The 13,282-nt window shown below is 36.4% G+C and overlaps 1 protein-coding gene across 13 annotated transcripts in view; it reads left to right on the top strand.

Annotated features, from left to right (window-relative positions):
- The window catches only part of FBXW7 (F-box and WD repeat domain containing 7), a 215,549-nt gene that overhangs the window by 32,982 nt on the left and 169,285 nt on the right, over positions 1–13,282 (top strand). Inside the window, exon 3 of one of the 13 annotated variants that reach the window (XM_047415897.1) lies at positions 1–13,282. This exon is cut by the window's left edge and continues 27,740 nt beyond it. The exons of the other annotated variants lie outside the window; for them this stretch is intronic. The gene's annotated coding sequence lies outside the window, so the exon portion shown is untranslated. 13 annotated transcript variants of the gene reach the window in all.

Genomic DNA, 13,282 nt, shown 5'->3' with positions numbered 1-13,282 from the left:
GTATTCCTCATAATTTTCTAACAAAATTTCTATAATTGAAATAATTTCTTTACCATCTCTTTATGTAAATGTGATTTTCTTTCTTTTGGCGCAAGAATTTAAGCCAGTTTATAGCTGACCAGAGTTACAAGCCCAGATTTGTTAAAAAGCTTTTAAACACGTTTGTTGTACATTTACTTCTGACATTGTTTGGCTAATTTTGTTGCTTTTCTTCTGATTGTAGAGCAGAAAGTTCTTATAAAATTCACTGTGTATTTGTTGAAAATGTCTCCTAATATTGTCTACTTTACTTGTAAAACTTTAAAACCCAAGAAATAGCTTTTAATTTTGCTCTGTCACAGCTAATTGTAATTGTCATTCATTAGAAAATTTCTAGCATACCTTCTTCCAGTTTCTTTTTACTTTACTGTTCTGGTGGTAGCATTAGCTTCTGTATCTCTACTTGATTGTGTATTGCTGTAATGCCTTCTTTTTACTTTTAAAAATGTGTCCTCCTCTTGTCCATTCATTTTTAAAGTAAGAAAATTAATTATATTCAAAATATTAAAATTAAAAAAAATAAAAAGTATTGCGATTGAGTTACCAGTTGTGATTTACATAGGCATCACTGCAACTTGTGTTATTTGTGAAAAACGTATTTAAGTAAACGCAGTACGGTGTTAGATTGATGAGTAGAAAAATACTCATTCTAACTGTAAATTAGTTAATTTTTACTGACTAGATCAGTATTTTTATGTGTAATACTAGAAATGACTCACTGTATCCTGAGATGTGGAGTATAATATGCAGTACAGTGGTCACAGTGAAATGTAGTACTGCCAAAAGAATAAAACTTTCTTTAGTAGAAGGACATTTTACACAGCTTCAGCTTTTAAATTTAAATTAAGTACAACTAAATAAAGCTAAAAACTCAATTCCCTGGTAACACTAGCCACATTTCAAGTGCTTAGTAGTCACATGTGGCTAATAGCTAATATATTAGAAATTAAACCTTTTGAGAGTTGGTTATGTATGTGATTAAAGTATTTTGGTTACTTGGGACTAGAGATTACAGTCATTTTTGATCAGGCTGATGTCATAGGAACAGTACCAAGGGGACTTCTGAATCAAGCACCCTAGAAAGAGCTACTTAGAACTACTTGCATTTTCTTTGTGGCATCTCTTATAGGCATGAAAAAATTTCAAACATTTTTCATGGATAAAAGGATTTAATCAGAAAAGCATTTGGATATACATATTTGAAATCATAGCTTGCCTGTATGTTACTAGAGTAGTTGGAGAGTGGAAAAGTATCTATATTCTAAAGACTGTTTCATCATTTGGGTGAAAAACCAAAAAAAGAGAGTAATTTTGTTTAATAGCTCTTTCACAAATAAAAAAAAGAATGTTCATCTGTAGAGACCTATCGAGATCTCATCAGGTTTACAACAAACTTTAGATTAGCAAGCTCAATTTCAGTTGACATGGATTGTGGAAAGATTTTCAGTGGAGCTCAGATATTTAATATCCTGAATTTGGATGAATATACAATTTCTAAAATTAAGTACTTCAACTCCTCTGTGGTTTTAAAACCAGTAGTGGCCATATCTTGACTAGTTATTAAAGCACCAACCTTTTTTTCTTTATTACTTTGCTTTTATCCTTTGAGCAAGTTAGGCAATAAGTTCTCCATGTTTTTGATTTCTACAGAAGTAAATGAATGTTATTGCTGATGTTTATTTCATTCTGTCTTGATCTCATGATATGAGAATATAAGGAGATGTCTGAAAACTTGTTTTAAAAATCCTATGAAGCATAAGTTCATGAATAAAGAAGGAAGTGGAACTTGTCTTGAGAGAATTTGCCTATTTAGATGGTTTCCAAAGTGCATTCTGCTAGTCACTAGAGATGGTCCTTGAAAGAGTTCTGTAATTAAGTTTGAAGAAACACTGTGTACCATAATAATGGCCTATTGAATATTTTACCATGCACATTAATATATCAAAGGCTTTGAGATATCTTACAAGAAAGAAACTTGCTAAAGCTTGTCTTCCTGCATGTCTTAAGCTTCTTCCACAGTGACTTTAAGTCGGACTTGTCTATCCTGTGAGAAATGCTGCCCTCTAGAGGCACAAATTCAATTGCTCTTAAATTTGAGTACCATAATGCTGCCTGATCTTAGTGTGAAGTTGTGATAATTAATATTAATCAAATGCATGGTAACAAAACCAAATAGAAGAAATCTTATGTTGCTTAATTTTAAGAAAATATGAGGAAACAGAATTGCAATTTATAAATACCCACTTTTTAAATTGTACATGTGATATTTTTGGCTGCTAATAATCTTTTGAATACATTTCTGTATATGGGGAATTGCGGACACATAGTACTTCAAGTCTCCAAACTCTGAGTCTCTCCTGCTAGCAGAAGCCATCCTTCCCTGTGTTAACAACCTTGCTTAAGACAGTTACCATCCATGGGGAAGCTAGTTTCCTCATACCCCTTCCCACGATACTCATGTTTCCATACCTGTAACTGGAGTCAGACTATATCATGCTGCACCTTTGCAGTCACAATGGGAAGAAAAGGATTATATGTAATTTTTTTAAAGTTTTTTTTTTTTTTTTTTTTTTTTGCTGACAAAGCAGCAAAACCTTCAGGAATATGTACAGAAATGGGTGATGATGATGATGTGAGAGAGAAAGAAACATGCTTTTGCATTTGGCTGAATGTATTGGTATGGTGCAGTTATCAGAGATTCTGAATTCATTGTTCTCGTTCAAGTAGCCAGGAGTGGTTCTAATTGTTTGCTCCTTTGGTCTCAGCATTGACTTATACTAAATGAAGTTGAATGCCTAAAAACTCATAGCATAATATAGAGGAAGAAGTCAAAAGATTAAAGGAAATAGAACTGATGGAGTGGATTTATCACTGTGACCATTCACTTACCTCCCCTATTCCCTCTCCAGTATTCTCTACTAAGAGGTCTGGAAGACACTTCATTCACCAACCTAATGAGAAATACTTTGAGGGCAGTGCCAGCATATATGAAAAGTAATTCAATTGCTTTTGTCTGTAGGCTGGAGGAGATACTTTCATTGAAATTGTCTTTTTTACTTCAGGGGGTGTGGCCAGATTCTAGGTAAGGTCCAGGCATCATTTTCATAAGGTAGCTTGACAGGCATGATGATCAGAGATGCACTGACTTGAATTCTTTTTGGCTGTGACTAAATGATCATGGATCCCTACGTCTAAAATAGAGAGGAAGCCTATTAAGATCCTACTTTATCTGTATGAGCAAAAAATTTTAGGTCTCATAGGAGAAGGCCTTACTTGAACTACCATAAGAGTGAGTTGGCCAGCCTGGGCAACATGGTGAAACCCTGTCTCTACAAAAAACACAAAAGTTAACTTTTGTGTTTTGGGCATGGCTGCGTGAGCCTGTGGTCCTGGCTGCTCAGGAGGCTGCCCCCTTTTTGCAGTTTACTTCATGGGTTATATGAGAAAACAGGAAGGAGGGGGATATCACCGAGAGATTCTGATATTGGAGCTGTGTGCAATAACTGATAAGTCTCTGGTTCTTACCTCCATATGAGGAACAGAGAGAGTCTTGTTTGTACAAGGCTTAGTTATAATCTGTCAGGTTTGAGGATCTTGATTGGAAGCATAGACTTGATCTGTATTTGTGGTTTCTCATTTCAAATAGCCTCTCAATGTTGGATAAATTTGCATGTTCATGTTTTATAGAGTCAGAACTCAATTTCCTAGTATTCCTTGCAGCTAGGGCACAAGCATATGACCTAGGCTTTATTGATCAGATGCATCTGTGTAAGACATGAATTCAGGGTCAGAGAAATGCAGGGTAACAGCTCTTGCCTGGAATTGCTTTCTAATGTGCATGTTGAGTGACAAGATATTGAGCTGTTTAGAGGTAGCAGTGACAGAGATACTAGTGAGCCTTGTTGTCCTAGGCTCAGCTTTCATGGTACTAGGGCTGAAGGATGGGAACAATTTGGTGGGGAGACTTAGGTATTTTTCCTGGCATCATATCTCCAAGTGGATTCTTCAGTTCTCTGATAATTCTTGGAATCCCCTAATATATTAATAAATTTATTTTCTCTTGAAACCACCTCAAATAGATTCTGTTTATAGCTTAGAGCCCTGATTGATCGTCTAACTTTAAAGATTTTATTTATCGTCAAAATATTTTATTTTTCTAATTGAGATCTAAAAATTGTCAAGCACTTATACTCTATTTTTTCCCTTCCTAGAGCTCTGCAATCCTTTGCTGTCATTTTTTCTTACCAGGAATGCCAATTTTTGTACCTTTTGAATTGCTTTTTCTTCTTTGCTACTTGGCTTGAGCTCCACTATTGTTATGAAACCTTTCTTATACCATCCCAGCAGCCTGATGGATTTTTTTCTTCCTCTGAATTCCAGTAGCACTTGTTTAGACATTAAGTGCAAGGTGTTTTTTTGTTTTGTTTTGTTTTTCTGTATGCATCTTAGCTTCCGCACTAAATGATAAGCTCCCTGAAAACTAGTACTATGCCTCTTTATATCGCTTGCATTGTCCAACAGAATGTCTTGCACCTATTAGATTCAAGGTTCAGCACAGTCACCCTCATAATATATAGTGATGAGAGTTGCTGAGAATCACAGTGATGCCAGGCTGAATGAGCTGAGATAATAAACTAGTTAGATGCATAGTCTGGCCATGAGGCCCAATTTCCATCTTCCTCAAGGAGTCTGAGACTTGCCTCTCAGTAGTTTTCGTTAGTAGGTGATCATATCTTCTGAATTACTGTCTTCTTAATGTTTTATGAGTTTTTTTTTGCCTTGACAAAAGCCTTCTATTTCTCTCATGCTTCCTAGTTCCTTCCATTGTGCCCTCTGCAATTTCTTTTCACTAAGCTTACTATTTGCAGTCTCTTAAAATTTGTGTAAATTATGAAATCAAAGATACAAAGAAAGGACAGAAAGTAGTATAACAAACACCTGTGTATCTAACCTCAGGGTCAAGCAGATATTAACCTTTTGCCTCGTTTGATTTCCTTTTAAAGTTCTTCCCTCCCCATACTTTTCTCCCTTCTTTGGAGGTACTCATTATCCTAAAGTCCTTACGATTATTTCCCTGCTGTTTTTGTACACATAAAACATTTACACAAAAGATGACCTGTGTTTTTTTCTAGATGTGTTCATATTGACATGTGTAGATTTAGTTCATTCATTGTAACTACTGTTTAGTTTTCCAGGTTGAATAATGCTAAGTTTTATAGAGATAATGCAGTTCTACCTTTTGGCAAATAATATTGTAATGCTCGTACATAGGTACTTACTGTAATTTTATCTAGGATAGATACCTGAAAGTAGAATTGCTGAATCACAGGGTTCAGGTGCCACTTTATCAAGTATTGCCGAGTCCAGTCCAAAGTGGAGCTACCATTTTATACCCATTAACATGTTTCCACACTTTTTTTTATCAACATTTAATTTTATCTAGCTATGATTTTTTTGCCTATTTGAAAGATGAGAAATGGAGTTTGATGATTTTCATTTTCATTACTTTGATTTATAGTAAAGTTGAATGTCTTTGCATAGTTTTTGATCATTCTAGTTTCCTATTCTGTGAATCTTTTATGTTCTTTGCTGATTTTTTTCCTATTGGGTATTGAACCTTAAATTGATTTGTGGTGATTCTTTTTATAATCTGGATATTAATGGTTTTGGTAATATGCATTGCAAGTATCTCATAGTGTGTGTGTGTGTGTGTGTGTGTGTGTGTGTGGTTTTTTTTTTTTTTTTTTTTTGAGATGGAGTCTCACTCTGTCTCCCAGGCTGGAGTGCAGTGGTGCGATCTTGGCTCACACAAATTCTGCCTCCCGGGTTCAAGTGATTCTCCTGTCTCAGCCTCCTGAGTAGCTGGGATTATAGGTGCCCGCCACCACACCTGGCTAATTTTTGTATTTTTAGTAGAGATGGGATTTCACTGTGTTGTCCAGGCTGGTCTCCAACTCCTGACCTCGGGTGATCTGCCCGCCTTGGCCTCCCAGAGTGTTGGGATGACAGGCGTGAGCCATTGTGCCCGGCCTTCGTGTCGGTTTTTAACATTGTTTAAAAGTTTCAGATTTACTACATGAGTTCATTTGTAGAATCTCTCTTCTGTATCATAGCTTCTTTGGTCTGCTTTCATGTCTTTACAATATTGTGTTAATTTTAATAGTTTTGATATAAATCTTGTTATCTGATAAGGTGAATCTTCTCTCAATGAAAATTTTGGGTCAGCTAATCATATTTCACCCTGACCCTAATGAAAATTTAACAGAAAACAAACCCTGTTGGAAATGTGATTGGAATCTCATTGAATTTACAGGTTACAGTGGGGATAGTTGTCACCTTTACATTGGTTGACTGTCATTGATATTTCTGTTCAATACAGTTCTATTTTTTTCTTTTTTCTTTTTCTTTTTTTTTTGAGATGGAGTCTTGCTTTTGTTGTGATCTCGGCTCACTGCAACCTCCGCCTCCCTGTTTCGAGTGATTTTGCTGCGTCAGCCTCCCCAGTAGCTGGGATTACAGGCGCCTGCCACCATGCCTGGCTGATTTTTGTATTTTTAGTAGAGACAGGGTTTCGCCATGTTGGCCATCCTGACCTTAGGTGATCTACCCACCTCAGCTTCTCGAAGTGCTGGGATTATAGGCGTGAGCCACTGCGCCTGGCCCAGTTCCATTTTTTTCTTGATAGAAGTCTTCATTAGATTTTTTTTTTTTAGGTTTTTATGATTTTTGTTACCATCGTGAATGGCAAATTTTTATAAAAATACTTTTTGTTACTGGTAGCTACAAACCAATTAGTATAAGAGACAAATTGCTAAGAAGCAAGTTGCTGTTTGTATCTTGATTTTGTATCTCTCAATCTTGCTGAATTCTTAGTTGTTTTTGTTTGTTTGTTTGAGGTGGTGTGTCTTACTCTGACACCTAGGCTGGAGTGCAGTGGTGTGGTCACTGCTCACCACAGCCTTGACTGCCTGGGTTCAAGCAATTCTCCCACCTCAGCTTCCCAAGTAGCTGGGACCACAGGTGCATGTCACCACACCCAACCAATTTTAAAATTATTTGTAGAGATGAGGTCTTGCTATGTTGCCCAGGCTGCTCTCGAACTCCTGGGATTAAGCGATCCTCTTGCCTTGGCTTCCCAGAGTGCTGAGATTACAGGCATGAGCCATTGCACCTGGCCTAAACTCTTACTTCTAATGATAGATTCTCTTGGATACCTCATGCAGATAATCATATAAGTAGTGAATAAAGATGGTTTTTGTTGCTTTCTAAGCCTATGTCTTTATATTTTTCTTCTGTTATTGACCTATGTAGGACCACTTTACTAAAATTGCAGCTTTTCCTGGGCCTTGGCTTTATGTGTGTGTTAATGTATGGAGTAGAAAGGGGTATCTCAGAACTGAAGTCTCCCACTAAGGGCCAAAAGTCTCATTTCTAGTCCCTACATATGAGTCAAAGGATAAATATAGGTTAAGACTAGCAACCCATTGTAGGGAAGAAACATTGCCAACTTGTAGCCTAATATATATATTTTTAATATGTTACTGTTTTTTCCATGTTACTGGCACACACTTAAAGATTTCTGTTTCATGGTGGCTAAAGGATTAATTTAAAATAATTTTTTTTTTCCTTTTTGAGTTGAGTTTCACTCTGTTGCCCAGGCTGAAGTGGAGTGGGGTGATCTCAGCTCACTGCAACCTCTGTCTCCCGGTTTCAAGCGATTCTTCTGCCTCAGCCTCCTGAGTAGTTGGGACTACAGGTGTGTGCCACCATACCCAGCTAATTTGTTTTTTTTTAAATTTTTAGTAGAGACGGGGTTTCACCATGTAGGACAGGGTGATCTCGAACTCCTGACCTCAGGTGATCTGCCTGTCTTGGCCTCCCAAAGTGCTAGGATTACAGACGTGAGTCACCACACCCAGCCTAAAAGAATTATTTTGATATATCCTTTCTGCATGAAATTTCTGTGGGAAGGCTTTTCAGGTGATCTGATCTGATACAGTGTTAGGACTGGAAGTATAGCTTATACTATATAAATTTCCTTAATTGAAATTTCACATTATTTAGGAACTCTGTACCCTGAAGCTGTCTCACTCTGGTATTTAATGTCCTACAATTAGTTTAAGAGAGCAAGCTTGGGTAAGTTTCTTAAAACTTCCTTATATTTGTTTCTTCATCAATATTAGTAGTATAGTATCATCTCCTATCTTATAGATTATTATAAGAAATAAGTTAATAATGTAAAGCATTTAGAACAGTATTAGTTATTGGTCTCAACCTCCTTTTAGCTGTTATCTACAGCCTTTCTGGTAGATTTTACTTATTCTGGGAAGATAGTGGTGTATTCCTCATAATCTCCTTGTACATTCCAGGTCCTACAATAATTCTCAAACATTTTAGCATCCTTACATAGACTCTCCAATATCCTGGTCTTATTTCCCTGATCTCCTCAAATCTACTGATTTTTCTCTTCCTCAGACAAGTGATTTTTCACTTATTTGGTAAAATCCTAATTCTGGATTAACTCGGTTATCAGATTCTTTCATTCCTATACCACCTGAATGCTGCAGTAAAAAGTTACCTCAAAGGACATTTAAAAAAAATTATAAATTCATGATTGTTGATCACAGACCCTAATACTGCATGGGAATCCACTGCATTATCCTTGTCAGCTAGTTTCCTCATCTTTACCATGACTGTTTCAATCATCTGTTCTCCTCAGACCTCCAACATGCCCTTTCTCTTTCTACAGAAAACTTTTCCTGTTACTTTCCAGTGAAAACCGGAGTACTTGGTGCAACCCTTAGTTGCCCACTATCTTTTCTATATTTTCTTTCTTCTTAATGTTAAAATAGAGGTAGTCTTGCTTTCTATCTAAGGCTTTCTCCCTTTCTCTGCAGTACCTTATGCTGTTGATGATTTCCCTTTTTTTTGTATGTTTAACTTTTCTTTACACTTGATTCTTCTCGTCAGTATTTAAACACGCTTAATTCCTGCTATTAAAAAAATAAAAACAATAAGCATTAATGGGTACCACATTACTGACCTTTCTGTTCTCTTTCCTAGCCAAATGCTAGAAATTATTGTTTCCATTTCTCACCTTTGACTCACCTGTTTAGTTTATTCATTCCACTGTAATAGTATTTGCTTATGATACCAACAACCTCTCTGTTAGTAAATTAAGTGAATATTTTTAAACTTGGTCTTATTTGATCTCTCACTTGGTGTGCTAGGGCTTCTATAAAATACCACAGACTGGGTGGCTTAAACAACAGAAATTAATTTTCTCACTATGTGGAGGCTGGATGTCAAAGATCAAGGTGTTGGCAGGTTTGTTTTCTTCTGAGGCCTCTCTCCTTGGCTTGCAGAGGGTGCCTTCTTGCTGTGTCCTCACTTGGTTTTTCCTCTGTTTGCATGCATTTCTGGTGTCTGTGTCCAGATTGGATTAGGGCCTGGAAGATGAATTTACTCACCTCTCTAAAGGCCCTATATCCAAATACAGTCGTGTTCTGACGTACTGGGGGTTAGGGCTTCAACACGTGAATTTTGGGGGAGACAGTTTGGCACATAATCTCCTAGCAGGTTTAAACAGTTTTGAAAAACTATCCTTGGCTGGACGCATTGGCTTACACCTGTAATCCCAACACTTTGGGAGGCCGAGGCGGGTGGATCACCTGAGGTCAGGAGTTCGAGACCAGCCTGACCAACATGGTGAAACCCTGTCTCTGCTAAAGATACAAAAATAAGCCAGGTTTGGTGGCACATGTCTGTAATCGCAGCTACTCGGGAGGCTGAGGCACGAGAATCGCTTGAACCTGGGAGGCAGAGTTTGCAGTGAGCCAAGATTGCGCCACTGCACTCCAGCCTGGGCAACAAAGCGAGAGTCTGTCTCTGGAAAAAAAAACAAAAAACAAAAAAACTATCCTTTAAACTCTTTGGTTTTCATTTTGCCTCTCTGATCTATTGCTCTTCAGCCTTTTTTTAACAGGCTTCTCTTCTGCTTGGTTATTAAAAGTAGAAATTTCTTGAGTCTTGGTCCTTTGGTATTTTCTGCTTCTCTTACTTCTGTTATTTCTCCCCAGGCAGTCTTACCACTTTGATTTCCATTTATGAAGGAACTGCATACCTGTTGTTCCAGCACTTAATTTGCCTGAGTTTCAGACCTATTTAATAATGCCATTTAGCTTATCCTAGAGGTACCTTAAAAAAACGAGTTCAAATCTGAACTCATAATAATCCCCATCCATGTGATTTGACCCTAATCTACCTCCTTAGCCTTACTATTCTTTGTTACTCTTTGCCATAGCTGCACTATAGCAAAGCACGGCCTCTTGGTCCAGGCGTAATATACCTTTTCCTCCAGAGTCTTTGCTCTTATTTCCTATGTTAATATGCTCCTCATTTTTCATTTACAACATTACCCAGTTTTCAATACATACAAAAGATAAAAACATTAGTTATTAGGGAAATGCAGACTTAAACCATAAAATAATCACTAAAACCAACTAGAAGGGGTAAAATTAAAAAGACTGTCAACTACAAATATTCTAGGAAGCCATCCAGAACACTCGTAAATTGCTGGTGTGAGTATAAAATGGGAGAGCCACTTTGGAATACCACTGGCAATTTCTTATAAATTTAAGCATACACCTTTGGATCCAGCAATTCTACTTCTAGGTGTTTTCGGAAAAGGAATGAAAACATGTCCACAAAAAACTTTTAAAAATTATATTTACAGTCGATTTACTCCTTACAGCTGACAACTAGAAGCAGCCCAAATGTCAATAGGATTAATGACTAAAAATTTTTTGGTATATTCATACAATGGAATGCCACTCAGTAATAAAAGAACTACAGAATGGCAAATGTACACAACATGACATGGATGAATCTGACATACTTGGCAAAGGAAGCTGGACATGATACTGTATTATTCCATTTATATTAAGTTCTAGAAGAGGCAAAGCTACTCTGGAGTGAAAAAATAAAAACAGAACAAAGGTTGCCTTTTGCTTCTGGAAAATGGTGATATTCAACTGGGAGGGTGCATAAGGGGCCTTCTTGAAGTGATGAAAATGTTCCATATCTCATAGAGGTGTGTGTTACATGGGCTTATCTATTAAAGTTGTACAGCTAAGAAGTATGTATTTCAATGGCATACATGTATCTTAGATAAAATAAACAAGTTTTATCTAAAAATTATAGAAATAATTGAGTTAGGTGACAGGGAGTGGGAGGTGTAGATGAAAGAAGAATTGCAGAACGTTGGTGGTTGCTGAAGTTGAGTAATGGATGTGGGGAAGTTTAGTATACTATTTTGTTTGTTTTTTGTGTGTTCAAAGTTTTCCATATAAAGATCTTTTTAAATCAAAGTTACGAAGACACTTAAACAGCACCTGTGGTCTGACTGCCAGCTTAATAAAGAATGCTTACTAATGTAATTTTCTTCTCTGTGAATCGTACCCTGATTCAGCACTCCTTTCTCCCCACCAGCCACTATCCTGAATTCCTCTTGACTTTTTAAGACATCTTCCAAATATCATTCTAAACGTCACGTCCATGGGGGAAAGCCTTTTCTGATTCAGAACACTCACTAGTTTTAAGTGCCCCTGTTAAGTCCTTTCATAGCTTTTATCTTAATTATGATTTATTTGCTTAACTATTATCAACCTCTACACTAGACTAAGCCTAAGTTTTTGGAGGGAAAGATATATCTATTCTTGCTGTTTTAATGTCTAGAATAATAATACATTTATTGAATGATTATGTTGGTGTAGTTTTTTAAAAAAATTGAAGGATACCCAAATTGAAGAGCTATTCTATTACTGCTTATGTTGTAAGGTCAGTATGTTATAAAATGTATGAATGTGAGAGAATGACTGAGAAATGATAATGGTTTCTTTCTGATTTTATTGGCATCTGATAAAAACAAGGGGCAATAAAACTGTGTTATTAGATCTGGAACTATATCCGGAAAGTCCTGTCAGTTGGTTCTCAAATGCCCTTGAGCTTTATTATGCTTCTTCCTTATTAATGTATTAAGCCGTGTGAGTGAAAGACCCCTTTCCTCTTTACAAAGAATATTCTAAATCACCTCTTTTTTCTCTCTTCTCTAATGTGCTTCTTCCTTTGACTATTAGTTTTGGTATTTATCAGGGACAGCGATCTTTAAGAGCTTGTTGTTTTGTTATTTTTTGTACTGCTTGCTGTATGTTTTAAATTTTGATATATCTTACTGCCAAATGAAGGTGTGAGCTCATAAGTAATAAAGATAGAAAAAATCTGCTTTGCTTATAATTATACCATTAAACATGTTGTCCTTAATGCAGATACACACTATTGGTATTGTAGGTGCAGGATTATGTTTTGATTTTTGCCAGTTCATATTTCCATGGAGTATTTAGGCAATTTTAACAACATAGATTTCTGTAATGAATGTTTTTTTAACTTATGCTGCTGCTTGAGAGACAGAGTCAGACTGCCAGGGTTTGAGTCCTATGCCCAATATTTCCTAGCTCTGTGACTTTTGAGTTATCTGCTTTTTGCCTGTTTCTTCCTCATTAAAACAGAGATACTAAGTGTACCTTATAGTGTTGTTGGGAGGGCTATTTGAGGTAGTATATGTAATGCCTGGTACTTATTAAATGTTAGATCTTTTTTACTTTCTTGGGTTCTAGGGAGTCCAATAAGTAACAAATTTTTCCTCTAAGGTTTTTTTCTTTATTGGTGGCAAAATATACATAGTATAAAATTTACATTTCAACCATTTTTAAATATACAATTCAGTGGCATCAAGTACATTCACAATATTTTGCAACCATCCATCTCTGTCCATTTCCAGAAGTTTTTCATCATCGCAAATAAAAACTTGATACCCATTAAACAATAACTCCCATCTTTCCTCCCCTGATTTCCTGGTAACGTATGTTATACTCTGTCTTTATGATTATGACTATTCTAGGTACCTCATAAATAGAATCATACAGTGTTTGTCTTATTGTCCTCTCATTTCATTTGGCATAATATTTTCAAAGTTAATTCATGTTGTAGCGACTTCTAGTTCCATTTTTTGTGGTTGAAGAAAGTACTTCCCTAATAGAAATGAAAACATGTTTGCAAGGCTTTTTTTAAAGAATGCTTATGGATTTAGTCATAATAGGTAACAACTGAAAACATTGGTATGGCTGGGTCAAGTTGGACTAATTCACTGTAGCCCAGGGTCATGTAAGAACATGGAGTTTTCAAG

This window comes from Homo sapiens, chromosome 4, assembly GCF_000001405.40.
Source record: "Homo sapiens chromosome 4, GRCh38.p14 Primary Assembly".
Taxonomy (NCBI): domain Eukaryota; kingdom Metazoa; phylum Chordata; class Mammalia; order Primates; family Hominidae; genus Homo; species Homo sapiens.
This window is presented reverse-complemented; position numbering and strand designations above follow the sequence as displayed.